Here is a 27011-nt window from a genome sequence, read left to right as displayed (position 1 = left end):
GTTCGATTCCATTCCAATCCATCCCATTCCATTCCATTCTATTTGATTCCATATCATTCCATGCAGTTCCATTCCATTCCACTCCATTCCATTCCATTCCATTGCATTCCATTCCATTCTATTCCATTCCATTTCATTACATTCCTTTCTGTTCCACTGAGGTTGATTCCATTCCATTGCATTCCTTTCCTTCCATTCCATTCAATTTGATTCCATTCCATTCCACTTGTGTTGATTCCACTCCGTTATATTCCATTCCATTCTATTCCTGTCCATTCCATTCCATCCCATTCCATTCCATTCCACTGCAGCTGATTCCATTCCATTCCATTCCATTCCATTGCATTCCATTCCATTCCAGTCCATTCCGCTTGGATTGATTCCATTCCATTCCATTCCATTGCATTCCATTCCATTCCATTCCATTCCATTCCACTCGTGTTGAATCCATTCCATTCCATTCCATTCCACTCGGGTTGATTCCCGTCCTTTCCATTCCATTCCATTCCATCCCATTCCATTCCATTTCACTCTGGTTGATTCCATTCCATTCCTTTCCATTCCAATACATTCCAGTCCATTCCACTCTGGTTGATTCCATTCCATTTTATTAAATTGCATTCCATTCCATTCCATTCCATTCCATTCCATTCCTTTCCATTCCATTCCTTTACATTCTACTCCATTCCATTCCATTCCATTCCATTCCATTCCATTCCATTCCATTTAACATGGGTGGATTCCAATCCATTCCATTCCATTCAATTCCATTCCCTTCCATTCGGGTTGATTCCATTCCATTCCGTTCCATTACTTTCTATTCCATTCCATTCCATTCATTCCATTCCAATCTTGTTGATTCCATTCAATTCCATTTCGCTCCATTCCATTCCATTCCATTCGATTCCATTCCATTCCTTTCCATTCATTCCACTTGGGTTAATTCCATTCCATTCCATTACATTCAATTCCATTCCATCCCATTACATTCCGTTCCACTCGGGTTGAGTCCATTCCATTCCATTCCATTTTATTCCACTCCACTCGGGTTGATTCCATTCCCTTCCATTCCATTCCATTCCATTCCATTCCACTCGGGTTGATTCCATTCCATTCCATTCCATTCCATTCCATTCCACTCCATTCTATTCCATTTCATTCCATTCCAGTTGGTTCCATTCCATTCCATTCCATTCCATTCCATTCCATTCCACTCGGCTTGATTTCATTCCATAGCATTCCAGTTGATTCGATTCCATTCCAATCCATTCCATTCCATGCCACTTCTTGTTGCTTCCATTCCATTCCATTCCATTCCAGTTGATTCCATTCCATTCCATTCCTTTCCATTCCATTGCATTCCATTCCCTTCCATTCCATTCCATTCCATTCCATTCCATTCCGTTCCATTCCATTCCATTCCATTCCATTCCGTTCCATTGCTTTCTAATGAGGTTGATTCCACTCCTTTCCATTACATTCAAGTCCGATCCATTCCATGCCATTTCACTCGGGTTGTTTCCATTCCGTTGAATTCCACTCCGTTCCATTCCATTCCATTCCATTCCATTCCATTCCACTCAGGTTGATTCCATTCCGTTCCATTCCATTCCATTCCATTCCATTCCATTCCAGTTGATTCCATTGCATTCCATTCCGTTCCATTCCATTCCATTCCATTCCATTCCATTCCATTCCACTAGGGTTGATTCCATTCCATTCCATTCCATTGCATTCCATTCCATTCCATTCCACTCAAGTTGATTCCGTTCCATTCCATTCCATTCCATTTCATTAAATTCCGTTCCTGCTGTTTCCACTGCCTTCCATTCCATTCCAATCCATTCCATTCCATTCCGTTCCACTCTCGTTGATTCCATTCCATTCCATTCCATTCCATTCCATTCCAGTTGATTCCATTGCATTCCATTCCGTTCCATTCCATTCCATTCCATTCCATTCCATTCCATTCCATTCCATTCCATTCCACTGGGGTTGATTCCATTCCATTCCATTCCATTGCATTCCATTCCGTTCCATTCCACTCAGGTTTATTCCGTTCCATTCCATTCCATTCCATTTCATTAAATTCCGTTCCTGCTGTTTCCACTGCCTTCCATTCCATTCCAATCCATTCCATTCTATTCCGTTCCACTCTCGTTGATTCCATTCCATTCCATTCCTCTCGGGCTGATTCCGTTCCATTCCATTCCATTCCATTTCATTCCATTCCATTCCATTCCATTTCATTCCATTCCATTCCATTCCATTCCTTTCCATTCGGGCTAATTCCATACCATTCCATTCCATTCCATTCCGTTCCTTTCCATTCCATTCCATGCCAGTCATGTTGATTCAATTCCATTCCTTTCCATTCCATGCCATTCCATTCCATTCCTTTCCATTCCATTCCACTGGTTTGATTCCGTTGCATCCATTCTATTCCATTACACTTTGGTTGATTCCATTCCATTCCACTCGGTTTGATTCCTTTGCATTCCGTTCAATTCCATTCCACTTTGGTTCATTCCATTCCATTCCATTCCATTCCACTGTGGTTGATTCCATTCTATTCCATTCCATTCCATACCGTTCCAGTCCATTTATTTACATTCCACTCAGGTTGATTCCATTCCATTCCATTCCATTCCACTGTGGTTGATTCCATTCTAATCCATTCCATTCCATACCGTTCCAGTCCATTTATTTCCATTCCACTCAGGTTGATTCCGTAGCATTCCATTCCATTCCATTCCATTCCTTTCCATGCCATTCCATTCCATTCCATTCCATTCCATTCCATGACTTTCCATTCCTGTCCATTCGTGTTGATTCCTTTGCATTCCATTCTTTTCGATTCTTTTCCACTCCATTCCCTTCCGTTCCATTCGGGATGATTCCATTCCATTCCATTCCATTCCTTTCCATTCCATTCCATTCCATTCCATTCCACCGGGATTGATTCCATTCCATTCCATTATAATCCATTCCATTCCACCCGGATTGTTTCCTTTCCATTCCATTGTAATGCATTCCATTCCACTGGGGTTGATTGCATTCCATGCCATTCCATTCCATTCCATTCCATTCCATTCCATTCCATTGCAGTTGATTCTAATGCCTTCCACTCCATTCCATTCCATTGCATTCCACTCCATTCAATTACACTCGGGTTGATTCCATTCCATTCCATTCCACTCAGGTTGATTCCATTGCATTCTCTTCCATTCCATTCCGTGCCTTTCCATTCCATTCCATTCCACTCGGGTTCATTCTATTCCATTCCATTGCATTCCATTCCATTCCATTCCATTCCATTCCATTCGTGTTTATTCCATTCCATTCCATTCCATTCCATTCCACTCGGGTTCATTGCATTCAGTTCCGTTCCATTCCATTCCATTCCATTCCATTTATTTCCATCCCATTCTATTCCACTCCACTCGGGTTGACTCCATTCCATTCCATTCCATTGCATTAAATTTCATTCCATTCCATTCCATTCCAGTTCATTCCAATCCTTTCCATTCCATCCCATTCCATTCTAGTTGATTCCATTGCATTCCATGCCGTTCCATTCCATTCCACTCTATTCCAATCCATTCCATTCGGGTTGATTTCATTCCATTCCATTCCATTCCACTGCATTCCACTCGGGGTAATTCCATCCCATTCCATTCCATTCCATTCCATTCCGTTCCATTTGATTCCTTTCCAGTTGATTCCATTCCATTCCATTGTATTCCATTCCATTCCAATCGGGTTGATTTCATTGCACTCCATTCCATTCCATTCCATTCCATTCCATTCCAATCCATTCCATTCCATTCCATTCCATTGCATTCCATTACTTTCCACTGGTGTTTATTCCATTCCACTCCATGCCATTGCATTCCAGTCCATTCCATTCCATTCCATTCCATTGCATTCCATTGCACTCGGGTTTACTCCATTCCATACCATTGCATTCCATTGCATTCCATTCCTTTCCTTTCCATTCCATTCCTTTCCAATCCATTCCATTCCATTCTAATCTTGTTTATTCCATTCCATTCCATTCCATTCCATTCCATTCCATTCCATTCCATTCCATTCCATTACATTCCACTCGGGTTTATTCCATTCCATTCCATTCCACTCTGGTTGATTCCATTCCATTGCATTCCATTGCATTCCATTCCTTTACATTCCACTCGGGTTTATTCCATTCCATTCCATTCCATTCCATTCCATTCCAATCCATTCCATTCCATTCCATTCCATTCATTTCATTCCTTTCCAGTTGATTGCATTCCATTCCATTGTATTCCATTCCATTCCAATCTGGTTGATTTCATTCCATTCCATTCCATTCTAGTCCATTTCATTCCAATCCATTCCATTCCATTCCATTCCCTTCCATTCCATTCCATTCCATTGCTGTTTATTACATTCCACTCCATTCCATTGCATTCCATTCCATTCCATTTCATTCCATTCCATTCTATTCTATTCCACTCGGGTTGACTCCATTCCATACCATTGCATTCTATTGCATTCCATTCTTTCCTTTCCATTCCATTCCTTTCCATTCCATTCCTTTCCACTCGAGTTGATTCCATTACATTCTATTCCATTCCTTTCCATTCCATTCCATTCCATTCCATTCCAATCCTGTTTATTACATGCCACTCCATTCCATTCCATTCCATTCCATTCCATTCCATTCCAATTGGGCAGATCCATTCCATTCCAATCCATTCCATTCCATTCCATTGCATTCCATTCCATTTATATCCACTCCATTCCATTCCACTCCACTCGGGTTGATTCCATTCCATTCCATTCCATTCCATTCCATTAAATTCCATTCCATTCCATTCCATTCCACTTCATTCCATTCCTTTCCATTCCATCCCATTGCATTCTAGTTGATTCCATTACATTCCATGCCGTTCCATTCCATTCCACTCTATTCCAATCCATTCCATTCGGGTTGATTTCATTCCATTCCATTCCATTCCGTTCCACTGCATTCCACTGGGGTTAATTCCATTCCATTCCATTCCATTCCATTCCATTCCTTTCCATTTGATTCATATCCAGTTGATTCCATTCCATTCCATTGCATTCCATTCCATTCCAATCGGGTTGATTTCATTGCACTCCATTCCATTCCATTCCATTCCATTCCAATCCTTTCCATTCCATTCCATTCCTGTCCATTCCATTCCATTGCATTCCATTCCTTTCCACTGGTGTATATTCCATTCCACTCCATTCCATTGCATTCCATTCCATTCCATTACATTACATTACATTGCATTCAATTCCACTCGGGTTTACTCCATTCCATACCATTGCATTCCATTGCATTCCATTCCTTTCCTTTCCATTCCATTCCTTTCCAGTCCATTGCATTCCATTCCAATCCATTCCATTCCATTCCACTCTTGTTTTCCATTCCATTCCATTCCATTACATTCCACTCGGGTTTATTCCATTCCATTCCATTCCATTCCATTCCATTCCATTCCGTTCCACTCGGGTTGATTCCATTCCATAGCATTCCATTCCATTCCAATCTGGTTGATTTCATTCCATTCCATTCCATTCTAGTCCATTCCATTCCATTCCATTCCATTCCATTCCATTCCATTCCATTCCATTCCATTCCATTCGGGTTGATTCCATTCCATTGCATTCCATTCCATTCCAATCTGGTTGATTTCATTCCATTCCATTCCATTCTAGTCCATTCCATTCCATTCCATTCCATTCCATTCCATTCCATTCCATTCCATTCCATTCCGTTCCACTCGGGTTGATTCCATTCCATTGCATTCCATTCCATTCCAATCTGGTTGATTTCATTCCATTCCATTCCATTCTAGTCCATTCCATTCCATTCCATTCCATTCCATTCCATTCCATTCCATTCCTGTCCATTCCATTCCCTTCCATTCCATTCCATTACACTGCTGTTTATTCCATTCCAATCCATTCCATTGCATTCCATTCCTTTCCATTTCATTCCATTCCATTCCATTCCATTCCATTCCACTCGGGTTGACTCCATTCCATACCATTGCATTCTATTGCATTCCATTCTTTCCTTTCCATTCCATTCCTTTCCATTCCATTCCTTTCCACTCGAGTTGATTCCATTACATTCTATTCCATTCCTTTGCATTCCATTCCATTCCATTCCATTCCAATCCTGTTTATTACATGCCATTCCATTCCATTCCATTCCAATAGGTGTATTCCATTCCGTTCCATTCCATTCCATTCCATTCCATTCATTTCCTTTCCATTCCTTTCGACTCCACTCGGGTTGATTCCATTCCATTCCATTCAATTCCATTCTGTTGCATTCCACTCGGGTTGATTCCATTCCATTGCATTCCATTCCATTCAATTCCATTCCATTCAATTCCATTCCATTCCATTTGATTCCTTTCCAGTTGCTTCCATTCAATTCCATTGCATTCCATTCTATTCCAATCGGGTTTTTTTCATTCAATTCCATTCCATTCTAGTCCATTCCACTGATTCCATTCCATTCCATTCCATTCCATTCCATTCTAGTTGATTCCATTGCAATCCATGCCGTTCCTTTCCATTCCACTCTATTCCTATGCATTCCACTCGGGTTGATTTTATTCCATTCCATTCCATTGCATTCCACTCGGGTTGATTCCATTCCATTCCATTCCATTCCATTTCATTCCTTTCCAGTTGATTCCATTCCATTCCACAGCATTCCGTTCCATTCAATTCCATTCCAATCTTGTCCATGCCATTCCATTCCATTCATTCCATTCCATTCCATTCCATTCCACTCTGTTTGATTCCATTCGATTCCATTCCAATCCATTCCAGTTGATTCCATTCTAGTTGATTCCATTGCATTCCATGCCGTTCCATTCCATTCCACTGCATTCCAATCCATTCCACTCGGGTTGATTCCATTCCATTCCTTTCCATTCCATTCCATTCATTTCCATTCCATTCACTCGGGTTGACTCCATTGCATTCCATTCCATTCCATTCCACTTGGGTTGATTCCATTCCATTCCATTACATTCCTTTCCGTTCCATTCCATTCATTTCCATTCCACTTGTGTTGATTCCATTCCATTCCATTCCTTTCCAGTCCATTCAGTTTGATTCCATTCCATTCCATTCCTTTCCATTCCTTTCCATTCCTTTACATTCCATTCCATTCCATTCCATTCGGGTTGATTCCATTCCATTCCGTTCCATTCCATTCCATTCCATTCCACTCCATTCCATTCCATTCCATTCCACCCAGATTGATTCCTTTCCATTCCATTATAATCCATTCCATTCCACTCAATTCCACTGGGGTTTATTCCATTCCATTCCATTCCATTCCATTCCATTCCATTCCATTCCATTCCGTTTCTTTCCCTTCCATTGCAGTTGATTCTAATGCCTTCCATTCCATTCCATTGCTTTGTATTCCATTCCATTCCATTCCATTCCACTCGGGATGATTGTATTCCATTCCATTCCAGTCGGGTTCATTCCATTCCATTCCATTCCATTCCATTCCATTCCATTCCGTTCCATGACGTTACATTTCATGCCACTCTAGTTGATTCAATTCCATTGCATTCCATTCCATTCCATTCCATTCCATTCCATTCCATTCCACTCGGCTTCATTCCTTTTCGCTCCGTTCCATTCCTTCCAATCCATTCCATTCCATTCTATTCCATTCCATTCCATTCCATTCCACTAGGGTTGATTCCATTCCATTCCATTCCATTCTACTCGGGTTCATTTCATTTCGTTCCGTTCTATTCCATTCCATTCCATTGCATTCATTTCCTTTCCATTCCATTCCACTCCACTCGGGTTGATTCCATTCCGTTCCATTCCATTCCATTAAATTCCATTGCATTCCAGTTCATTCCATTCCTTTCCATTCCATTCCATTCCATTCCATTCCGTTGCATTCTAATCGGGTGGTTTCCAATCCATTCCATTACATCCCAGTCCTTTTCATTCCATTATATTCCACTCGGTTTGTTTCCATTACACTGAATTCCATTCCATTGCGTTCCATTGCATTCCATTCCACTCTGGTTGTTTCATTTCCATTCCATTCCATTAGTTTCCATTACATTCAATTCCATCCATTCCATTCCATTCCATTCCACTCAGGTTGATTCCGTTCGATTCTATTTCAATCCATTCCATTCCATTCCATTCTAGTTGATTCCGTTGCATTCCATGCGGTTCCATTCCATTCCACTCCATTCCAATCCATTCCACTCGAGTTGATTCCATTGCATTCCATTCCATTCCATTCCATTCCATTCCATTCCATTCCATTCCATTCCTTTCCAGTTGATTCCATTCCATTCCATTCCATTCCATTCCATTCCATTCCATTTCATTCCTTTCCAGTTGATTCCATTCCATTCCATTGCATTCCTTTCCATTCCAATCGGGTTGATTTCATTCCATTCCATTCCATTCTAGTCAATTCCATTCCATTCCATTCCATTCCATTCCAGTCCATTCTATTCCATTCCATTCCTGTCCATAACATTCCACTCTGGTTGATTTCATTCCATTCGATTCCATTCCATTCTATACCATTACATTGCAGTCGAATTGATTCCATTCTATTCCATTCCATTCCATTCCATTCCATTCCATTCCATTCCATTCCATGACGTTACATTTCATTCCACTTGAGTTGATTCCATTCCATTCCATTCCATTCCATTCCATTCGTGTTTATTCCATTCCATTCCATTCCATTCCATTCGGGTTGATACCATTCCATACCATTCCATTCCATTCCATTTTAATCGGGTTCATTACTTTTCGTTCCGTTCCATTCCATTCCATTCCTTTCCATTCCATTCCATGCCGGTCATGTTGTTTCCATTCCATTCCTATACATTCCGTGCCAATCCATTCCATTCCTTTCCATTCCATTCCTGTCCTTTTCATTCCATTCCATTCCATTCCATTCCATTCCATTCCATTCCATTCCATTCAATTCCATTCCACTGGTGTTTATTCCATTGCACTCCATTCCATTGCATTCCATTCCATTCCATTGCATTCAATTCCATTCCATTCCATTCCACTCGGATTGACTCCATTCCATACCCGTGCATTCCATTGCATCACATTCCTTTCCATTCCATTCCATTCCTTTCCATTACATTCCTTTCCACTCCAGTTGATTCCATTCCATTCTATTCCATTCCTTTCCATTCCATTCCACTCGTATTTATTCCATTCCTTTCCATTCCATTCCATTCCATTCCACTCGGGTTGATTCCATTACATTCCATTCCACTCAATTCCTTTCCATTCCACTCCATTTCATTCCATTGCATTCCAGTCGGGTTGATTTCATTCCATTCCTTTCCATTCCATTCCATTCATTTCCATTCCATTCACTCGGGTTGATTCCATTGCATTCCATTCCATTCCATTCCACGTGGGTTGATTCCATTCCATTCCATTACATTCCTTTCCGTTCCATTCCATTCATTTCCATTCCACTTGAGTTGATTCCATTCCATTCCATTCCATTCCGTTCCATTCCATTCCAGTCCATTCGGGTTGATTCCATTCCATTCCATTCCTTTCCATTCCTTTCCATTCATTTCCATTCCATTCCATTCCATTCTATTCGGTTTGATTCCATTCCATTCCATTCCATTCCATTCCATTCCATTCCATTCCACTCCATTCCATTCCATTCCATTCCACCCGGATTGATTCCTTTCCATTCCATTTTAATCCATTCCATTCCACTCCTTTCCACTGGGGTTGATTCCATTCCATTCCATTCCATTCCATTTCATTTCTTTCCATTCCATTCCAGTTGATTCTTATGCCTTCCATTCCATTCCATTCCATTGTATTCCATTCCATTCCATTCCATTGTATTCCATTCCATTCCATTCCATTCCACTCGGGATGATTGCATTCCATTCCATTGCAGTCGGGTTGATTCCATTCCATTCCATTCCATTCCATTCCATGACGTTACATTTCATTCCACTCGAGTTGATTCCATTCCATTCCGTACCATTCCATTCCATTCCATTCCATTCCATTCCATTCCATTCCATTCGTGTTTATTCCATTCCATCCCATTCCATTCCACTCGGGTTGATTCCATTCCATTCCGTTACATTCAATTCTACTCGCCTTCATTCCTTTTCGTTCCATTCCATTCCATTCCATTCCATTCCATTCCATTCCATTCCATTCCGCTTGGGTTGATTCCATTCCATTCCATTCCATTCCATTCCATTCCATTCCATTCCATTCTACTCGGGTTCATTTCATTTCATTCGGTTCCATTCCATTCCATTCCATTCCATTCCATTCCATTCATTTCCTTCCCATTCCATTCCACTCCACTCGGGTTGATTCCATTCCGTTCCATTCCATTCCATTAAATTCCATTGCATTCCAGTTCATTCCATTCCTTTCCATTCCATTCCATTCCCTTCCATTCCATTCCGTTGCATTGCAATCGGGTTGATTCCAATCCATTCCATTACATCCCAGTCCTTTTCATTGAATTATATTCCACTCGGTTTGTTTCCATTACACTGAATTCCATTCCATTCCATTCCATTCCATTGCATTCCATTGCATTCCATTCCACTCGGGTTGTTTGCTTTCCATTCCATTCCTTTAGTTTCCATTCCATTCCATTCCATTCCATTCCATTCCATTCCACTCAGGTTGATTCCGTTCGATTCCATTTCAATCCATTACATTCCATTCCATTCTAGTTGATTCCATTGCATTCCATGCCGTTCCATTCCATTCCACTCCATTTCAATCCATTCCACTCGAGTTGATTCCATTCCATTCCATTCCATTCCATTCCATTCCATTCCTTTCCAGTTGATTCCATTCCATTCCATTGCATTCCTTTCCATTCCAATCGGGTTTATTTCATTCCATTCCATTCCATTCTAGTCATTTCCATTCCATTCCATTCCATTCCATTCCAGTCCATTCCATTCCATTCCATTCCTGTCCATAACATTCCACTCTGGTTGATTCCATTCCATTCCATTCCATTCCATTCTATACTATTATATTGCAGTCGAATTGATTCCATTCTATTCCATTACATTGCACTCAAATTGATTCCATTCTATTCCATTCCATTCCATTCCTTTCCATTCCATTCCATTCCATTCCATGACGTTACATTTCATTCCACTCGAGTTGATTCCATTCCATTCCATTCCATTCCATTCCATTCCATTCCATTCCATTCGTGTTTATTCCATTCCATTCCATTCCATTCCACTCGGGTTGTTTCCATTCCATTCCATTCCATTCCATTCCATTCTACTCGGGTTCATTACTTTACGTTCCGTTCCATTCCATTCCATTCCATTCCATTCCACTCGGGCTGATTCCATACCATTCCATTCCATTCCATTCCATTCCTTTCCATTCCATTCCATGCCAGTCATGTTGATTCCATTCCATTCCTATCCATTCCGTGCCATTCCATTCCATTCCTTTCCATTCCATTCCTGTCCTTTTCATTCCATTCCATTCCATTCCATTCCATTCCATTCCATTCCACTGGTGTTTATTCCATTCCACTCCATTCCATTCCATTCCATGGCATTCAATTCCATTCCATTCCATTCCACTCGCATTGACTCCATTCCATACCCGTGCATTCCATTGCATTCCATTCCATTCCATTCCATTCCATTCCTTTCCATTACATTCCTTTCCACTCGAGTTGATTCCATTCCATTCTATTCCATTCCATTCCATTCCATTCCACTCGTATTTATTCCATTCCATTCCATTCGATTCCACTCGTATTTATTCCATTCCATTCTACTCCATTCCATTCCATTCCACTCGGGTTTATTCCATTACATTCCATTCCACTCAATTCCTTTCCATTCCACTCCATTTCATTCCATTGCATTCCACTCGGGTTGATTTCATTCCATTCCTTTCCATTCCATTCCATTCATTTCCATTCCATTCACTCGGGTTGATTCCATTCCATTCCATTCCATTCCATTCTATTCTACTCGGGTTCATTTCATTTCTTTCCATTCCATTCCATTCCATTCATTTACTTTCCATTCCATTCGACTCCACTCGGGTTGATTCCATTCCGTTCCATTCCATTCCATTAAATTCCATTGCATTCCAGTTCATTCCATTGTTTTCCATTGCATTCCATTCCCTTCCATTCCATTCCGTTGCATTGTAATCGGGTTGATTCCAATCCATTCCGTTACATCCCAGTAATTTTCATTCCATTATATTCCACTCGGTTTGTTTCCATTACACAGAATTCCATTCCATTCCATTCCATTCCATTCCATTGCATTCCATTCCACTCGGATTGTTTCCTTTCCATTCCATTCCATTCCATTCCATTGCATTCCATTGCATTCCATTCCACTCGGGTTGTTTCCTTTCCATTCCATTCCTTTAGTTTCCATTCCATTCCATTCCATTCTTTCCATTCCATTCCATTCCACTCAGGTTGATTCCGTTCGATTCCATTCCAATCCATTCCATTCCATTCCATTGTAGTTGATTCCATTGCATTCCATGCCGTTCCATTCCATTCCACTCCATTCCAATCCATTCCACTCGAGTTGATTTCATTCCATTCCATTCCATTCCATTCAATTGCATTCCACTCGGGTTGTTTCCATTCCATTCCATTCCATTCCATTTCATTCCTTTCCAGTTGATTCCATCCCATTCCATTGCATTCCATTCCATTCCAATCGGGTTGATTTCATTCCATTCCATTCCATTTTAGTCCATTGCAGTCCATTCCATTCCATTCCATTCCATTCCATTCCATTCCATTCCATTCCATTCCTGTCCATTTCATTCCATTCCATTCCATTCTAGTTGATTCCATTGCATTCCATGCCATTCCATTCCATTCCATTCTATTCCAATCCATTCCATTAGGGTTGATTTCATTCCATTCCATTTCATTCCATTCCATAGCATTCTACTCGGTTAATTCCATTCCATTCCATTCCATTCCATTCCATTCCATTCCACTCCACTTCATTCGTTTCCTGTTGATTCCATTACCTTCCATTGCATTCCATTCCATTCCAATCGGGTTGATTTCATTCCATTCCATTCCATTCTAGTCCATTCCATTCCATTCCATTCCATTCCTGTCCATTCCATTCCATTCCATTCCATTCCATTCCTGTCCATTCCATTCCACTAGTGTTTATTCCATTCCACTCCAATCCATTGCGTTCCATTCCATTCCATTCCATTCCATTCCACTCGGGTTGATTCCATTCCATACCATTGCATTCCTTTGCATTCTATTCCTTTCCTTTCCATTCCATTCCTTGCCATTCCATTACTTTCCCCTCGAGTTGATTCCATTCCATTCTATTCCATTCCATTCCATTCCATTCCATTCCGTTCCATTTGATTCCTTTCCAGTTTATTCCATTCCATTCCGTTGCATTCCATTCCATTCCAATCCGGTTGATTTCATTCCATTCCATTCCATTCTAGTCCATTCCACTCCATTCTATTCCATTCCATACAATTCCATTCCTGTCCATTCCATTCCATTCCATTCCATTCCATTCCATTCCATTCTAGTTGATTCCATTGCTTTCCATGCCTTTAAATTCCATTCCACTCTATTCCAATCCATTCCACTCGGGTTGATTTCATTCCATTCCTTTCCTTTGCATTCAATGCCATTCCATTCCATTCCATTTCATTCTTATCCAGGTGATTCCATTCCATTCCATTCCATTCGATTCCATTCCAATCGGGTTGATTTCATTCCATTCCATTCCATTCTAGTCCATTCCATTCCATTCCATTCAATTCCATTCCACTGGTGTTTATTCCATTCCACTCCATTCCATTGCATTCCATTCCATTCCATTGCATTCGATTCCATTCCATTCCATTCCACTCGTGTTGACTCCATTCCATACCATTGCATTCCGTTGCATTCCATTCCCTTCCATTCCATTCTATTGCTTTCCATTCCATTCCTTTCCACTCTGGTTGATTCCATTCCATTACATTCCAGTCCATTCCACTCGGGTTGATTCCATTCCATTCCTTTCCATTCCATTCCATTCCACTCGGTTTGTTTCCAGTCCATTCCATTCCATTCCATTCCATGCCGTTACAGTCCATTCCATTCCATTCCACTCGGGTTGATTCCACTCCATTCCATTGCATTCCATGCCGTTACATTCCATGCCATTCCATTCCATTCCATTCTATTCCATTCCATTCCATTCCATTCCATTCCTTTCCATTCCATTCCACTCTGCTTGATTCCATTCCATTCCATTCCATTCTATACCATTACATTGCAGTAGAATTGATTCCATTTTATTCCATTACATTGCACTCGAATTGATTCCATTCTATTCCATTCCATTCCATTCCATTCCATTCCATTCCATTCCATTCCATGACGTTACATTTCATTCCACTCTAGTTGATTCCATTCCATTCCATTCCATTCCATTCCATTCCTTTCCATTCCATTCGTGTTTATTCCATTCCATTCCATTCCATTCCACTCGGGTTGATTCCATTCCATTCCATTCCATTCCATTCCATTCTACTCGGGTTCATTACTTTTCGTTCCGTTCCATTCCATTCCATTCCATTCCATTCCATTCCATTCCATTCTACTTGGGCTGATTCCATACCATTCCATTCTATTCCATTCCATTCCATTCCATTCCATTCCTTTCCATTCCCTTCCATGCCAGTCATGTTGATTCCATTCCATTCCTATCCGTTCCGTGCCATTCCACTCCAATCCTATCCTTTTCATTCCATTCCATTCCATTCCATTCCATTCCATTCCACTGGTGTTTATTCCATTCCAATCCATTCCATTGCATTCCATTCCATTCCATTGAATTCAATTCCATTCCATTGCATTCAATTCCTTTCCATTCCATTCCACTCGGATTGACTCCATTCCATACCCGTGCATTCCATTGCATTCCATTCCTTTCCATTCCATTCCATTCCTTTCCATTACATTACTTTCCACTCGAGTTGATTCCATTCAATTCTATTCCATTTAATTCCATTCCATTCCACTCGTATTTATTCCATTCCTTTCCATTCCATTCCATTCCATTCCATTCCATTGCATTCCATTCCATTCCATTCCATTCGGGTTGATTCCATTACATTCCATTCCACTCAATTCCTTTCCATTCCACTCCATTTCATTCCATTCCTTTCCATTACATTCCATTCATTTCCATTCCATTCACTCGGGTTGATTCCATTGCATTCCATTCCATTCCATTCCACGTGGGTTGATTCCATTCCATTCCATTAAATTCCTTTCCGTTCCATTCCATTCATTTCCATTCCACTTGAGTTGATTCCATTCCATTCCATTCCATTCCATTCCATTCCATTCCAGTCCATTCGGGTTGATTCCATTGCATTCCATTCCTTTCCATTCCTTTCCATTCCTTTCCATTCCATTCCGTTCCCTTCCATTGGGGTGATTCCATTCCATTCCGTTCCATTCCATTCCATTCCATTCCATTCCACTCCATTCCATTCCATTCCATTCCACCCGGATTGATTCCTTTCCATTCCATTATAATCCATTCCATTCCACTCCATTCCACTGGGGTTGATTCAATTCCATTCCATTCCATTCCATTCCATTCCATTTCATTTCTTTCCCTTCCATTCCAGTTGATTCTAATGCCTTCCATTCCATTCCATTCCATTCCATTCCATTCCATTCCATTCCTTTCCAGTTGATTCCATTCCATTCCATTGCATTCCTTTCCATTCCAATCGGGTTTATTTCATTCCATTCCATTCCATTCTAGTCATTTCCATTCCATTCCCTTCCATTCCATTCCAGTCCATTCCATTCCATTCCATTCCTGTCCATAACATTCCACTCTGGTTGATTCCATTCCATTCCATTCCATTCCATTCTATACTATTACATTGCAGTCGAATTGATTCCATTCTATTCCATTACATTGCACTCGAATTGATTCCATTCTATTCCATTCCATTCCATTCCTTTCCATTCCATTCCATTCCATTCCATGACGTTACATTTCATTCCACTCGAGTTGATTCCATTCCATTCCATTCCATTCCATTCCATTCCACTCCATTCGTGTTTATTCCATTCCATTCCATTCCATTCCACTCGGGTTGATTCCATTCCATTCCATTCCATTCCGTTCCATTCTACTCGGGTTCATTACTTTACGTTCCGTTCCATTCCATTCCATTCCATTCCATTCCACTCGGGCTGATTCCATACCATTCCATTCCATTCCATTCCATTCCTTTCCATTCCATTCCATGCCAGTCATGTTGATTCCATTCCATTCCTATCCATTCCGTGCCATTCCATTCCATTCCTTTCCATTCCATTCCTGTCCTTTTCATTCCATTCCATTCCATTCCATTCCATTCCATTCCATTCCACTGGTGTTTATTCCATTCCACTCCATTCCATTATATTCCATTCCATTCCATGGCATTCAATTCCATTCCATTCCATTCCACTCGCATTGACTCCATTCCATACCCGTGCATTCCATTGCATTCCATTCCATTCCATTCCATTCCATTCCTTTCCATTACATTCCTTTCCACTCGAGTTGATTCCATTCCATTCTATACCATTCCATTCCATTCCATTCCACTCGTATTTATTCCATTCCATTCCATTCGATTCCACTCGTATTTATTCCATTCCATTCCATTCCATTCCATTCCATTCCATTCCACTCGGGTTTATTCCATTACATTCCATTCCACTCAATTCCTTTCCATTCCACTCCATTTCATTCCATTGCATTCCACTCGGGTTGATTTCATTCCATTCCTTTCCATTCCATTCCATTCATTTCCATTCCATTCACTCGGGTTGATTCCATTCCATTCCATTCCATTCCATTCCATTCTATTCTACTCGGGTTCATTTCATTTCGTTCCATTCCATTCCATTCCATTCATTTACTTTCCATTCCATTCGACTCCACTCGGGTTGATTCCATTCCGTTCCATTCCATTCCATTAAATTTCATTGCATTCCAGTTCATTCCATTGTTTTCCATTGCATTCCATTCCCTTCCATTCCATTCCGTTGCATTGTAATCGGGTTGATTCCAATCCATTCCGTTACATCCCAGTAATTTTCATTCCATTATATTCCACTCGGTTTGTTTCCATTACACAGAATTCCATTCCATTCCATTCCATTCCATTCCATTGCATTCCATTCCACTCGGATTGTTTCCTTTCCATTCCATTCCATTCCATTCCATTGCATTCCATTGCATTCCATTCCACTCGGGTTGTTTCCTTTCCATTCCATTCCTTTAGTTTCCATTCCATTCCATTCCATTCTTTCCATTCCATTCCATTCCACTCAGGTTGATTCCGTTCGATTCCATTCCAATCCATTCCATTCCATTCCATTGTAGTTGATTCCATTGCATTCCATGCCGTTCCATTCCATTCCACTCCATTCCAATCCATTCCACTCGAGTTGATTTCATTCCATTCCATTCCATTCCATTCAATTGCATTCCACTCGGGTTGTTTCCATTCCATTCCATTCCATTCCATTCCATTTCATTCCTTTCCAGTTGATTCCATCCCATTCCATTGCATTCCATTCCATTCCAATCGGGTTGATTTCATTCCATTCCATTCCATTTTAGTCCATTGCAGTCCATTCCATTCCATTCCATTCGATTCCATTCCATTCCATTCCATTCCATTCCATTCCATTCCTGTCCATTTCATTCCATTCCATTCCATTCTAGTTGATTCCATTGCATTCCATGCCATTCCATTCCATTCCATTCTATTCCAATCCATTCCATTAGGGTTGATTTCATTCCATTCCATTTCATTCCATTCCATAGCATTCTACTCGGTTAATTCCATTCCATTCCATTCCATTCCATTCCATTCCATTCCACTCCACTTCATTCGTTTCCTGTTGATTCCATTACCTTCCATTGCATTCCATTCCATTCCAATCGGGTTGATTTCATTCCATTCCATTCCATTCTAGTCCATTCCATTCCATTCCATTCCTGTCCATTCCATTCCATTCCATTCCATTCCATTCCTGTCCATTCCATTCCACTAGTGTTTATTCCATTCCACTCCAATCCATTGCGTTCCATTCCATTCCATTCCATTCCATTCCACTCGGGTTGATTCCATTCCATACCATTGCATTCCTTTGCATTCTATTCCTTTCCTTTCCATTCCATTCCTTGCCATTCCATTACTTTCCCCTCGAGTTGATTCCATTCCATTCTATTCCATTCCATTCCATTCCATTCCATTCCATTCCGTTCCATTTGATTCCTTTCCAGTTTATTCCATTCCATTCCGTTGCATTCCATTCCATTCCAATCCGGTTGATTTCATTCCATTCCATTCCATTCTAGTCCATTCCACTCCATTCTATTCCATTCCATACAATTCCATTCCTGTCCATTCCATTCCATTCCATTCCATTCCATTCTAGTTGATTCCATTGCTTTCCATGCCTTTAAATTCCATTCCACTCTATTCCAATCCATTCCACTCGGGTTGATTTCATTCCTTTCCTTTCCATTGCATTCTTGTCCACTCCATTCCATTCCATTCCATTCCAATCTATTCCATTCCATTCCATTCTGGTCCATTCCATTCCATTGCATTCAATTCCTTTCCACTGGTGTTTATTCCATTCCCCTCCATTCCATTGCATCCCATTGCATTCCATTTCATTCCCTTCCATTCCACTCGGGTTGACTCCATTCCATACCATTGCATTCCATTGCATTCCATTCCTTTCCTTTCCATTCCATTCCTTTCTAATCCATTCCTTTCCACTAGAGTTGATTCCATTGCATTCCATTCCATTCCATGCCATTTCATTCCATTCGATTCCATTCCACTCGTGTTTATTCCATTCCATTCCATGCCATTTCATTCCATTCGATTCCTTTCCACTCTTGTTTATTCCCTTCCATTCCATTCCATTCCATTCCATTCCATTACTTTCCACTCGGGTTGATTCCATTCTGTTCCATTCCATTCCACTCGTGTTGATTCCATTCCACTGCATTCCATTCCATTCCATTGCATTCTACTCAGGTTGATTCCATTCCATTCCATTCCATTCCAATCCATTCCATTCCATTCCATTGCATTCATTTCATTCCTTTCCAGTTGATTCCATTCCATTCCATTACATTCCACTCCATTCCAATCGGGTTGATTTCATTCCATTCCATTCCATTCTAGTCCATTCCATTCCATTCCATTCCATTCCATTCCATTCCATTCCATTCCATACCATTCCATTCCATTTCATTCCTGTCCATTCCATTCCATTCCATTCCATTCCATTGCATTCATTTCATTCCTTTCCAGTTGATTCCATTCCATTCCATTACATTCCACTCCATTCCAATCGGGTTGATTTAATTCCATTCCATTCCATTCTATTCCATTCCATTCCATTCCATTCCATTCCATTCCATTCCATTTCATTCCTGTCCATTCCATTCCATTCCATTCCATTCCATTCCACTGCTGTTTATTCCACTCCACTCCATTCCATTGCATTTCATTCCATTCCATTTCATTCCTTTCCATTCCATTCCATTCCCCTCGAGTTGATTCCATTCCATTCCATTCCATTCCATTCCATTTCATTCCTTTCCAGTTGATTCCATTCCATTCCGTTGCATTCCACTCCATTCCAATCGGGTTGATTTCATTCCATTCCATTCCATTCCTGTCCATTCCATTCCATTCCATTCCACTCCATTCCATTCCACTCCATTCCATTGCATTCCATTCCACTGGTGTTTATTCCATTCCTCTCCCTTCCATTGCATTGCATTCTATTCCATTTAATTCCATTCTTTCCATTCCATTCCTCTCGGATTGACTCCATTCCATACCACTGAATTCCATTGCATTCCATTCCTTTCCTTTCCATTCCATTCCTTTCCCTTCCTTTCCTTTCCACTCGAGTTGATTCCATTCCATTCTATTCCATTCCATTCCATTCCATTCCATTCCGTTCCATTTGATTCCTTTCCACTTTATTCCATTCCATTTAATTGCATTCAATTCCATTCCAATCGGGTTGATTTCATTCCATTACGTTCCATTCTATTCCATTCCACTCCATTCCATTCCATTCCATTCCTGTCCATTCCATCCCATTCCAATCCATTCTAGTTGATTCCATTGCATTCCATGCCGTTCCATTCCATTCCACTCTATTCCAATCCATTCCAGTCGGGCTGATTTCATTCCATTCCCTTCCATTCCATTCCATTGCATTCCACTCAGGTTGATTCCATTCCATTCCATTCCATTCCATTCCATTCCATTCCATTCCATTCCATTTCATTCCTTTCCTGTTGATTCCATTCCATTACATTGCATTCCATTCCATTCCAATCGGGTTGATTTCACTCCATTCCATTCCATTCTAGTCCATTCCATTCGATTCAATTCCATGCCATTCCATTCCATTCCTTTCCTGTCCATTCCATTCCATTCCTTTCCATTCCATTCCACTGGTGTTTATTCCATTCCACTCCATTCCATTGCATTCCGTTCCTTTCCAGTTCATTCCGTTCCATTCCATTCCATCAGATTCCCTTCCATTCCATTCCACTCGGGTAGATTCCATTCCATTCCATTCCATTCCATTCCATTGCATTCCATTCCATTTCATTCCATTCCACTCGGGTTCATTCCATTCCGTTCCGTTCCATTCCATTCCATTCCATTCATTTCCTTTCCATTCCATTCCACTCCACTCGCGTTTATTCCATTCCATTCCATTCCGTTAAATTCCATGCTATTCCATTCCATTCCAGTTCATTCCATTCCTTTCCATTCCATTCCATTCCGTTCCACTCCATTCCATTACATTCCATTCTGTTGCATTGGAATCGGGTTGATTCCAATCCATTCCATTACATTCCATTCCACTCAGTTTGTTTCCATTGCATTCCATTCCACTCGGGTTGATTCCATTCCATTCCATTCCGTGCCTTTCCATTCGATTCGATTCCCTTCCATTCCACTCGGGTTCATTCCATTCCGTTCCGTTCTTTTCAATTCCATTCTATTCCTTTCATTTCCATTCCATTTCATTCCACTCCACTCGGGTTGATTCCATTCCATTCCATTCCATTCCATTAAATTCCATTCCATTCCATTCCATTAAATTCCATTCCATTCCATTCCATTAAATTCCATTCCATTCCATTCCATTCCATGCCGTTGCATTGGAATCGTGTTGATTCCAATACATTCCATTACATTCCAGTCCTTTCCATTCCATTACATTCCACTCGGTTTGTTTACATTACATTGAATTGCATTCCATTCCTTTCCATAACTTTGCATTCCGTTGCATTCCATTCCACTCGGGTTGCTTCCAATCCATTCCATTCCATTAATTTCCATTCCGTTCCATTCCATTCATTCAATTCCATTCCATTCCATTCCTTTCCACTCAGGTTGATTCTGTTCGATTCCATTCCAATCCATTCCATTCCATTCCATTCTAGTTGATTCTATTGCATTCCATGCCGTTCCATTCCATTCCACTCCATTCCAATCCATTCCACTCGGGTTGATTCTATTCCACTCCATTCCATTCCATTCCATTCCATTCCATTCCATTCCATTGCATTCCACTGCATTCCATTCCACTCGAGTTGTTTCCTTTCCATTCCATTGCATTAGTATCCATTCCATTCCATTCCATTCATTCCATTCCACTCAGTTTGATTCCGTTCGATTACATTCAAATCCATTCCATTCCATTCCATTCTAGTTGATTCCATTGCATTCCATGCCGTTCCATTCCATTCCACTCCATTCCAATCCATTCCACTCAGGTTGACTCCATTCCAATCTAGTCCATTCCATTTCATTCCATTCAATTCCATTCCATTGCATTCCATTCCATTCCTGTCCATTCCATTCCATTCCATTCCATTCCATTCCACTCCATTCCATTGCATTCCATTCCACTGCTGTTTATTCCATTACACTCCATTCCATTGCATTCCATTCCATTCCATTCCATTTCATTCCATTCCATTCCATTCCGTTCCAATCGGGTTGACTCCATTCCATACCTTTGCATTCTTTTGCATACCATTCCTTTCCTTTCCATTCCTTTCTTTTCCATTCCATTCCTTTCCACTCGATTTGATTCCATTCCATTCCATTCCATTCCATTCCGTTCCATTCCGTTCCCTTTGATTCCTTTCCAGGTGATTCTATTCCCTTCCATTGCATTCCATTCCATTCCAATCGGGTTGATTTCATTCTATTCCATTCAATTCTAGTCCTTTCCATTCCATTCCATTCCATTCCATTCCTGATCATTCCATTCCATTCCATTCCGTTCCATTCCATTCCACTGGTGTTTATTCCATTCCACTCTATTCCATTGCATTCCATTCCACTGTTGTTTATTCCAATCCACTCCATTCAATTGCATGCCATTCCGTTCCATTTCATTCCATTCCATTCCATTCCATTCCACTCGCGTTGACTCCATTCCATACCATTGCATTCCATTTCATTCCATTCCTTTCCTTCCCATTCCATTCTAGTCCATTCCTTTCCATTCCATTCCATTCCATTCCATTCCACTCGTGTTTATTCCATTCCATTCAATTCCATTCCATTCGATTCCATTCCATTCCAGTCCATTCCTTTCCATTCCATTCCATTCCATTCCATTCCATTCCACTCGTGTTTATTCCATTCCATTCAATTCCATTCCATTCCATTCCATTCCATTCCATGTCACTCGGGTTCATTGCATTCCATTGCATTCTAGTCCATTCCATTCCATTCGTTTCCATTTTATTCCATTCCATTAAATTCCATTCCATTCCATTAAATTCCATTCCATTCCATTCCATTCCATTCCAGTTGATTCCATTCCTTTCCTTTCCTTTCCATTCCATTCCATTCCATTCCATTCCATTCCATTCCATTCCATTCCATTCCATTCCGTTGGATTGGAATCGGGTTGATTTCAATCCATTCGATTACATTCCAGTCCTTTCCATTCCAGTACATTCCACTCGGTTTTTTTCCATTACATTGAATTCCATTCCATTCCATTCCATTCCATTGCATTCCATTGCATTCCATTCCACTCGGGTTGTTTCTTTTCCATTACATTCCATTAGTATCCATTCCATTCCATTCCATTCATTCCATTCCATTCCATTCCATTACACTGAGGTTGATTCCGTTCGATTCCATTCCAATCCATTCCATTCTATTCCATTCTAGTTGATTCCATTGCATTCCATGCCGTTCCATTCCATTCCATTCCATTCCAATCCATTCCAGTCGGGATGATTCCATTCCATTCCATTCCATTCCATTGCATTCCACTCGAGTTGATTCCATTCCATTCCATTCCATTCCATTCCATTCCATTTCATTCCTTTCCAGTTGATTCCATTACATTCCGTTGGTTTCCACTCCATTGCAATCGGGTTGATTTCATTCCATTCCATTCCATTCCTGTCCATTCCATTCCATTCCACTCCTTTCCATTCCACTCCATTCCATTGCATTCCATTGCACTGGTGTTTATTCCATTCCTCTCCATTCCATTGCATTCCATTCTATTCCATTTAATTCCATTCTTTCCATTCCATTCCACTCGGGTTGACTCCATTCCATACCATTGAATTCCATTGCATTCCATTCCTTTCCTTTCCATTCCATTCCTTTCCATTCCTTTCCTTTCCACTCGAGTTGATTCCATTCCATTCAATTCCATTCCATTCCATTCCATTCCCTTCCGTTCCATTTGATACCTTTCCAGTTGATTCCATTCCATTTATTTGCATTCCATTCCATTCCAATCTGGTTGATTTCATTCCATTACATTCCATTCTAGTCCATTCCACTCCATTCCATTCCATTCCATCCCATTCCATTCCATTCTAGTTGATTCCATTGCATTCCATGCCGTTCCATTCCATTCCACTCTATTCCAATCCATTCCATTCGGGCTGATTTCATTCCATTCCATTCCATTCCATTCCCTTGCATTCCACTCGGGTTGATTCCATTCCATTCCATTCCATTCCATTTCATTCCTTTCCAGTTGATTCCCTTCCATTACATTGCATTCCATTCCATTCCAATCGGGTTGATTTCACTCCATTCCATTCCAATCTAGTCCATTCCATTCCATTCCATTCCATTCCATTCCATTGCATTCCATTCCATTCCATTGCATTCCTGTCCATTCCATTCCATTCCTTTCCATTCCATTCCACTGGTGTTTATTCCATTCCACTCCATTCCATTGCATTCCATTCCATTCCAATCGTGTTGATTTCATTCCATTCCATTCCATTCTAGTCCATTCCATTCCACTCCATTCCATTCCATTCCATTCCTGTCAATTCTACTCCATTCCATTCCATTCTAATCCTGTCCATTCCATTGCATTTCATTCCATTTCATTCCATTCCATCCCGTTCCATTCCATTCCACTCATGTTGATTCCATTCCATAATATTGCATTCCATTGCATTCCATTCCTTTCCATTCCATTCCATTCCTTTTCATCCCATTCCTTTCCACTCGACTTGATTCCATTCCATTCTCTTCAATTCCATTCCATTCCATTCCATTTCATTCCATTCCACTCGTGTTTATTTCATTCTATTCCATTCCATTCCATTCCATTCCCTTGCACTCGGGTTGATTCCATTCCATTCCATTCCATTCCGCTCCATTCGGTTTGATTCCATTCCATTCCATTCCAGTGCATTGCATTCCATTCCATTCCACTCGGGATTATTCCACTCTATTCCATTCCATTGCATGCCATTACAGTCCATTCCACTCCATTCCACTCGGGTTGATTACACTCCATTCCATTCCATTCCATGCCATTTCATTCCATTCCATTCCATTCCATTGCATTCCATTCCATTCCATTCCACTCCACTCTGGTTGATTCCATTCCATTCCATTCTATACAATTACATTGCACTCGAATTGATTCCATTCTATTCCATTCCATTCCATTCCATTCCATTCCATTCCATTGCACTCGGGTTGATTCCATTCCATTCCATTCCATTCCATTACATTCCACTCGGATTGATTCCATTCCATTACATTCCAGTCCATACCATTCCATTCCATTCCACTCGGGTTTATTCCACTCCATTCCATTCCATTCCATGCCGTTACAGTCCATTCCATTCCATTCCACTCGGGTTGATTCCACTCCATTCCATTCCATTCCATGCCGTTACATTCCATTCCATTCCTTTCCATTCCATTCCATTCCATTCCATTCCATTCCATCCGTTTCCGTTCTATTCCACTGTGTTTGATTCTATTCCATTCCATTCCATTCTATACCATTACATTGCACTCGAATTGATTCCATTCCATTCCATTCCATTCCATTCCATTGCAGTCGAATTGATTCCATTCCATTCCATTCCATTCCACTCGGATTGATTCCATTCCATTCCATTCCAGTCCATAGCATTCCATTCCATTCCACTCGGGTTTATTCCACTCCATTCCATTCCATTCCATGCCATTACAGTCCATTACATTCCATTCCTCTCGGGTTGATTCCACTCCATTCCATTCCATTCCATGCCGTTACATTCCACTCCATTCCATTCCGTTCCATTCCATTCCATTCCTTTCCGTTCCATTCCATTCCATTCCTTTCCATTCCATTCCATTCCATTCCATTCCACTCGGGTTCATTCCATTCCGTTCCATTCTATTCCATTCCTTTCCATTCCATTCATTTCCATTCCATTCCTTTCCACTCCACTCGCGTTGATTCCATTCCATTTCATTCCATTCCTTTCCATTCCGTTAAATTCAATGCCATTCCATTCCATTCCAGTTCATTCTATTCCTTTGCATTCCGTTCCATTCCATTCAATTACATTACATTTCGTTTCACTGGAATCGGGTAGATTCCAATCCATTCCATTACATTCCAGTCCTTTCCATTATATTACATTCCACTCGGTTTGTTTCCATTACATTGAATTCCATTCCATTCCATTCCATACCAACGGGATTGATTCCATTCCATTCCATTATAATCCATTCCATTCCATTCCATTACAGTTGATTCTAATGCCTTTCACTCCATTATATTCCATTGCATTCCATTCCATTCCATTCCACTCTGTTTGTTTCCATTCCATTACATTCCACTCGGGTTGATTCCATTCCATTTGATTCCGTTCCATTCCATTCCATTACATTCCATTCCATTGCATTGGAATCGGGTTGATTCCAATCCATTCCATTACATTCCAGTCCTTTCCATTGTATTACATTCCACTCGGTTTGTTTCCATTACATTGAATTCCATTCCATTCCATTCCAATCCATTCCATTACATTCCATACCACCCAGATTGATTCCATTCCATTCCATTATAATCCATTCCATTCCATTCCATTCCAGTTGATTCTAATGCCTTTCACCCCATTCCATTCCACTGCATTCCATTCCATTCCATTCCACTCAGTTTGTTTCCATTCCATTCCATTCCACTCGGGTTGATTCCTTTCCATTCCATTCCATTCCATTTCATTCCATTCCATTCCGTGCCTTTCCATTCCATTCCATTCCATTCCATTCCACTCGGGTTCATTCCATTCCATTCGTTTTCATTCCATTCCATTCTATTCCATTCATTTCCATTCAATTCCATTCCACTCCACTCGGGTTGATTCCATTCCATTCCATTCCTTTCCATTAAATTCCATTCCATTCCATTACATTCCAGTTCATTCCATTACTTTCCCTTCCATTCTGTTCCCTTCCATTCCATTCCATTCCATTCCATGCCGTTGCATTGGAATCGGGTTGATTCCAATACATTCCATTACATT

At 40.7% G+C, this 27011-nt stretch overlaps 34 annotated features.

Moving 5' to 3' along the window:
• Positions 468-1247: an enhancer, noted in NCBI's record as "OCT4-NANOG-H3K27ac hESC enhancer chr10:42355559-42356338 (GRCh37/hg19 assembly coordinates)". NCBI's record gives its function as "activates a minimal SCP1, AML or CMV promoter by ChIP-STARR-seq in naive and primed H9 embryonic stem cells {active_cell/tissue: H9 hESC(naive and primed)}" and the evidence as "EXISTENCE:reporter gene assay evidence [ECO:0000049][PMID:30033119]".
• Positions 1248-2027: an enhancer, noted in NCBI's record as "OCT4-NANOG-H3K27ac-H3K4me1 hESC enhancer chr10:42356339-42357118 (GRCh37/hg19 assembly coordinates)". NCBI's record gives its function as "activates a minimal SCP1, AML or CMV promoter by ChIP-STARR-seq in naive and primed H9 embryonic stem cells {active_cell/tissue: H9 hESC(naive and primed)}" and the evidence as "EXISTENCE:reporter gene assay evidence [ECO:0000049][PMID:30033119]".
• Positions 2028-2807: an enhancer, noted in NCBI's record as "OCT4-NANOG-H3K27ac-H3K4me1 hESC enhancer chr10:42357119-42357898 (GRCh37/hg19 assembly coordinates)". NCBI's record gives its function as "activates a minimal SCP1, AML or CMV promoter by ChIP-STARR-seq in naive and primed H9 embryonic stem cells {active_cell/tissue: H9 hESC(naive and primed)}" and the evidence as "EXISTENCE:reporter gene assay evidence [ECO:0000049][PMID:30033119]".
• Positions 2808-3587: an enhancer, noted in NCBI's record as "OCT4-NANOG-H3K27ac hESC enhancer chr10:42357899-42358678 (GRCh37/hg19 assembly coordinates)". NCBI's record gives its function as "activates a minimal SCP1, AML or CMV promoter by ChIP-STARR-seq in naive and primed H9 embryonic stem cells {active_cell/tissue: H9 hESC(naive and primed)}" and the evidence as "EXISTENCE:reporter gene assay evidence [ECO:0000049][PMID:30033119]".
• Positions 3588-4367: an enhancer, noted in NCBI's record as "OCT4-NANOG-H3K27ac-H3K4me1 hESC enhancer chr10:42358679-42359458 (GRCh37/hg19 assembly coordinates)". NCBI's record gives its function as "activates a minimal SCP1, AML or CMV promoter by ChIP-STARR-seq in naive and primed H9 embryonic stem cells {active_cell/tissue: H9 hESC(naive and primed)}" and the evidence as "EXISTENCE:reporter gene assay evidence [ECO:0000049][PMID:30033119]".
• Positions 4368-5147: an enhancer, noted in NCBI's record as "OCT4-NANOG-H3K27ac-H3K4me1 hESC enhancer chr10:42359459-42360238 (GRCh37/hg19 assembly coordinates)". NCBI's record gives its function as "activates a minimal SCP1, AML or CMV promoter by ChIP-STARR-seq in naive and primed H9 embryonic stem cells {active_cell/tissue: H9 hESC(naive and primed)}" and the evidence as "EXISTENCE:reporter gene assay evidence [ECO:0000049][PMID:30033119]".
• Positions 5148-5927: an enhancer, noted in NCBI's record as "OCT4-NANOG-H3K27ac-H3K4me1 hESC enhancer chr10:42360239-42361018 (GRCh37/hg19 assembly coordinates)". NCBI's record gives its function as "activates a minimal SCP1, AML or CMV promoter by ChIP-STARR-seq in naive and primed H9 embryonic stem cells {active_cell/tissue: H9 hESC(naive and primed)}" and the evidence as "EXISTENCE:reporter gene assay evidence [ECO:0000049][PMID:30033119]".
• Positions 5928-6708: an enhancer, noted in NCBI's record as "OCT4-NANOG-H3K27ac-H3K4me1 hESC enhancer chr10:42361019-42361799 (GRCh37/hg19 assembly coordinates)". NCBI's record gives its function as "activates a minimal SCP1, AML or CMV promoter by ChIP-STARR-seq in naive and primed H9 embryonic stem cells {active_cell/tissue: H9 hESC(naive and primed)}" and the evidence as "EXISTENCE:reporter gene assay evidence [ECO:0000049][PMID:30033119]".
• Positions 6709-7488: an enhancer, noted in NCBI's record as "OCT4-NANOG-H3K27ac hESC enhancer chr10:42361800-42362579 (GRCh37/hg19 assembly coordinates)". NCBI's record gives its function as "activates a minimal SCP1, AML or CMV promoter by ChIP-STARR-seq in naive and primed H9 embryonic stem cells {active_cell/tissue: H9 hESC(naive and primed)}" and the evidence as "EXISTENCE:reporter gene assay evidence [ECO:0000049][PMID:30033119]".
• Positions 7489-8269: an enhancer, noted in NCBI's record as "OCT4-NANOG-H3K27ac-H3K4me1 hESC enhancer chr10:42362580-42363360 (GRCh37/hg19 assembly coordinates)". NCBI's record gives its function as "activates a minimal SCP1, AML or CMV promoter by ChIP-STARR-seq in naive H9 embryonic stem cells {active_cell/tissue: H9 hESC(naive)}" and the evidence as "EXISTENCE:reporter gene assay evidence [ECO:0000049][PMID:30033119]".
• Positions 8270-9048: an enhancer, noted in NCBI's record as "OCT4-NANOG-H3K27ac-H3K4me1 hESC enhancer chr10:42363361-42364139 (GRCh37/hg19 assembly coordinates)". NCBI's record gives its function as "activates a minimal SCP1, AML or CMV promoter by ChIP-STARR-seq in naive and primed H9 embryonic stem cells {active_cell/tissue: H9 hESC(naive and primed)}" and the evidence as "EXISTENCE:reporter gene assay evidence [ECO:0000049][PMID:30033119]".
• Positions 9049-9829: an enhancer, noted in NCBI's record as "OCT4-NANOG-H3K27ac-H3K4me1 hESC enhancer chr10:42364140-42364920 (GRCh37/hg19 assembly coordinates)". NCBI's record gives its function as "activates a minimal SCP1, AML or CMV promoter by ChIP-STARR-seq in naive and primed H9 embryonic stem cells {active_cell/tissue: H9 hESC(naive and primed)}" and the evidence as "EXISTENCE:reporter gene assay evidence [ECO:0000049][PMID:30033119]".
• Positions 9830-10609: an enhancer, noted in NCBI's record as "OCT4-NANOG-H3K27ac-H3K4me1 hESC enhancer chr10:42364921-42365700 (GRCh37/hg19 assembly coordinates)". NCBI's record gives its function as "activates a minimal SCP1, AML or CMV promoter by ChIP-STARR-seq in naive and primed H9 embryonic stem cells {active_cell/tissue: H9 hESC(naive and primed)}" and the evidence as "EXISTENCE:reporter gene assay evidence [ECO:0000049][PMID:30033119]".
• Positions 9858-10152: a silencer, noted in NCBI's record as "tiled region #3881; HepG2 Repressive DNase matched - State 24:Quies". NCBI's record gives its function as "represses a minimal TATA promoter and a strong SV40 promoter by Sharpr-MPRA in HepG2 cells {active_cell/tissue: HepG2}" and the evidence as "EXISTENCE:reporter gene assay evidence [ECO:0000049][PMID:27701403]".
• Positions 10610-11389: an enhancer, noted in NCBI's record as "OCT4-NANOG-H3K27ac-H3K4me1 hESC enhancer chr10:42365701-42366480 (GRCh37/hg19 assembly coordinates)". NCBI's record gives its function as "activates a minimal SCP1, AML or CMV promoter by ChIP-STARR-seq in naive and primed H9 embryonic stem cells {active_cell/tissue: H9 hESC(naive and primed)}" and the evidence as "EXISTENCE:reporter gene assay evidence [ECO:0000049][PMID:30033119]".
• Positions 11390-12168: an enhancer, noted in NCBI's record as "OCT4-NANOG-H3K27ac-H3K4me1 hESC enhancer chr10:42366481-42367259 (GRCh37/hg19 assembly coordinates)". NCBI's record gives its function as "activates a minimal SCP1, AML or CMV promoter by ChIP-STARR-seq in primed H9 embryonic stem cells {active_cell/tissue: H9 hESC(primed)}" and the evidence as "EXISTENCE:reporter gene assay evidence [ECO:0000049][PMID:30033119]".
• Positions 12205-13087: an enhancer, noted in NCBI's record as "OCT4-NANOG-H3K27ac-H3K4me1 hESC enhancer chr10:42367296-42368178 (GRCh37/hg19 assembly coordinates)". NCBI's record gives its function as "activates a minimal SCP1, AML or CMV promoter by ChIP-STARR-seq in naive and primed H9 embryonic stem cells {active_cell/tissue: H9 hESC(naive and primed)}" and the evidence as "EXISTENCE:reporter gene assay evidence [ECO:0000049][PMID:30033119]".
• Positions 13088-13969: an enhancer, noted in NCBI's record as "OCT4-NANOG-H3K27ac-H3K4me1 hESC enhancer chr10:42368179-42369060 (GRCh37/hg19 assembly coordinates)". NCBI's record gives its function as "activates a minimal SCP1, AML or CMV promoter by ChIP-STARR-seq in naive and primed H9 embryonic stem cells {active_cell/tissue: H9 hESC(naive and primed)}" and the evidence as "EXISTENCE:reporter gene assay evidence [ECO:0000049][PMID:30033119]".
• Positions 13970-14851: an enhancer, noted in NCBI's record as "OCT4-NANOG-H3K27ac-H3K4me1 hESC enhancer chr10:42369061-42369942 (GRCh37/hg19 assembly coordinates)". NCBI's record gives its function as "activates a minimal SCP1, AML or CMV promoter by ChIP-STARR-seq in naive and primed H9 embryonic stem cells {active_cell/tissue: H9 hESC(naive and primed)}" and the evidence as "EXISTENCE:reporter gene assay evidence [ECO:0000049][PMID:30033119]".
• Positions 14852-15733: an enhancer, noted in NCBI's record as "OCT4-NANOG-H3K27ac-H3K4me1 hESC enhancer chr10:42369943-42370824 (GRCh37/hg19 assembly coordinates)". NCBI's record gives its function as "activates a minimal SCP1, AML or CMV promoter by ChIP-STARR-seq in primed H9 embryonic stem cells {active_cell/tissue: H9 hESC(primed)}" and the evidence as "EXISTENCE:reporter gene assay evidence [ECO:0000049][PMID:30033119]".
• Positions 15734-16615: an enhancer, noted in NCBI's record as "OCT4-NANOG-H3K27ac-H3K4me1 hESC enhancer chr10:42370825-42371706 (GRCh37/hg19 assembly coordinates)". NCBI's record gives its function as "activates a minimal SCP1, AML or CMV promoter by ChIP-STARR-seq in primed H9 embryonic stem cells {active_cell/tissue: H9 hESC(primed)}" and the evidence as "EXISTENCE:reporter gene assay evidence [ECO:0000049][PMID:30033119]".
• Positions 16616-17497: an enhancer, noted in NCBI's record as "OCT4-NANOG-H3K27ac-H3K4me1 hESC enhancer chr10:42371707-42372588 (GRCh37/hg19 assembly coordinates)". NCBI's record gives its function as "activates a minimal SCP1, AML or CMV promoter by ChIP-STARR-seq in primed H9 embryonic stem cells {active_cell/tissue: H9 hESC(primed)}" and the evidence as "EXISTENCE:reporter gene assay evidence [ECO:0000049][PMID:30033119]".
• Positions 17498-18379: an enhancer, noted in NCBI's record as "OCT4-NANOG-H3K27ac hESC enhancer chr10:42372589-42373470 (GRCh37/hg19 assembly coordinates)". NCBI's record gives its function as "activates a minimal SCP1, AML or CMV promoter by ChIP-STARR-seq in primed H9 embryonic stem cells {active_cell/tissue: H9 hESC(primed)}" and the evidence as "EXISTENCE:reporter gene assay evidence [ECO:0000049][PMID:30033119]".
• Positions 18380-19261: an enhancer, noted in NCBI's record as "OCT4-NANOG-H3K27ac hESC enhancer chr10:42373471-42374352 (GRCh37/hg19 assembly coordinates)". NCBI's record gives its function as "activates a minimal SCP1, AML or CMV promoter by ChIP-STARR-seq in primed H9 embryonic stem cells {active_cell/tissue: H9 hESC(primed)}" and the evidence as "EXISTENCE:reporter gene assay evidence [ECO:0000049][PMID:30033119]".
• Positions 19262-20144: an enhancer, noted in NCBI's record as "OCT4-NANOG-H3K27ac hESC enhancer chr10:42374353-42375235 (GRCh37/hg19 assembly coordinates)". NCBI's record gives its function as "activates a minimal SCP1, AML or CMV promoter by ChIP-STARR-seq in naive and primed H9 embryonic stem cells {active_cell/tissue: H9 hESC(naive and primed)}" and the evidence as "EXISTENCE:reporter gene assay evidence [ECO:0000049][PMID:30033119]".
• Positions 20145-21026: an enhancer, noted in NCBI's record as "OCT4-NANOG-H3K27ac hESC enhancer chr10:42375236-42376117 (GRCh37/hg19 assembly coordinates)". NCBI's record gives its function as "activates a minimal SCP1, AML or CMV promoter by ChIP-STARR-seq in primed H9 embryonic stem cells {active_cell/tissue: H9 hESC(primed)}" and the evidence as "EXISTENCE:reporter gene assay evidence [ECO:0000049][PMID:30033119]".
• Positions 21027-21909: an enhancer, noted in NCBI's record as "OCT4-NANOG-H3K27ac hESC enhancer chr10:42376118-42377000 (GRCh37/hg19 assembly coordinates)". NCBI's record gives its function as "activates a minimal SCP1, AML or CMV promoter by ChIP-STARR-seq in naive H9 embryonic stem cells {active_cell/tissue: H9 hESC(naive)}" and the evidence as "EXISTENCE:reporter gene assay evidence [ECO:0000049][PMID:30033119]".
• Positions 21910-22790: an enhancer, noted in NCBI's record as "OCT4-NANOG hESC enhancer chr10:42377001-42377881 (GRCh37/hg19 assembly coordinates)". NCBI's record gives its function as "activates a minimal SCP1, AML or CMV promoter by ChIP-STARR-seq in naive H9 embryonic stem cells {active_cell/tissue: H9 hESC(naive)}" and the evidence as "EXISTENCE:reporter gene assay evidence [ECO:0000049][PMID:30033119]".
• Positions 22791-23673: an enhancer, noted in NCBI's record as "OCT4-NANOG-H3K27ac-H3K4me1 hESC enhancer chr10:42377882-42378764 (GRCh37/hg19 assembly coordinates)". NCBI's record gives its function as "activates a minimal SCP1, AML or CMV promoter by ChIP-STARR-seq in naive H9 embryonic stem cells {active_cell/tissue: H9 hESC(naive)}" and the evidence as "EXISTENCE:reporter gene assay evidence [ECO:0000049][PMID:30033119]".
• Positions 23674-24555: an enhancer, noted in NCBI's record as "OCT4-NANOG-H3K27ac-H3K4me1 hESC enhancer chr10:42378765-42379646 (GRCh37/hg19 assembly coordinates)". NCBI's record gives its function as "activates a minimal SCP1, AML or CMV promoter by ChIP-STARR-seq in naive H9 embryonic stem cells {active_cell/tissue: H9 hESC(naive)}" and the evidence as "EXISTENCE:reporter gene assay evidence [ECO:0000049][PMID:30033119]".
• Positions 24556-25437: an enhancer, noted in NCBI's record as "OCT4-NANOG-H3K27ac-H3K4me1 hESC enhancer chr10:42379647-42380528 (GRCh37/hg19 assembly coordinates)". NCBI's record gives its function as "activates a minimal SCP1, AML or CMV promoter by ChIP-STARR-seq in naive and primed H9 embryonic stem cells {active_cell/tissue: H9 hESC(naive and primed)}" and the evidence as "EXISTENCE:reporter gene assay evidence [ECO:0000049][PMID:30033119]".
• Positions 24638-24932: a silencer, noted in NCBI's record as "tiled region #1927; HepG2 Repressive non-DNase unmatched - State 24:Quies". NCBI's record gives its function as "represses a minimal TATA promoter and a strong SV40 promoter by Sharpr-MPRA in HepG2 cells {active_cell/tissue: HepG2}" and the evidence as "EXISTENCE:reporter gene assay evidence [ECO:0000049][PMID:27701403]".
• Positions 25438-26318: an enhancer, noted in NCBI's record as "OCT4-NANOG-H3K27ac-H3K4me1 hESC enhancer chr10:42380529-42381409 (GRCh37/hg19 assembly coordinates)". NCBI's record gives its function as "activates a minimal SCP1, AML or CMV promoter by ChIP-STARR-seq in naive and primed H9 embryonic stem cells {active_cell/tissue: H9 hESC(naive and primed)}" and the evidence as "EXISTENCE:reporter gene assay evidence [ECO:0000049][PMID:30033119]".
• Positions 26411-27009: an enhancer, noted in NCBI's record as "OCT4-NANOG hESC enhancer chr10:42381502-42382100 (GRCh37/hg19 assembly coordinates)". NCBI's record gives its function as "activates a minimal SCP1, AML or CMV promoter by ChIP-STARR-seq in naive and primed H9 embryonic stem cells {active_cell/tissue: H9 hESC(naive and primed)}" and the evidence as "EXISTENCE:reporter gene assay evidence [ECO:0000049][PMID:30033119]".

Source organism: Homo sapiens, chromosome 10, assembly GCF_000001405.40.
Source record: "Homo sapiens chromosome 10, GRCh38.p14 Primary Assembly".
NCBI lineage: Eukaryota > Metazoa > Chordata > Mammalia > Primates > Hominidae > Homo > Homo sapiens.
Note: the sequence above shows the minus strand (reverse complement) of the source record. Positions and strands in the feature narration are given on the sequence as shown.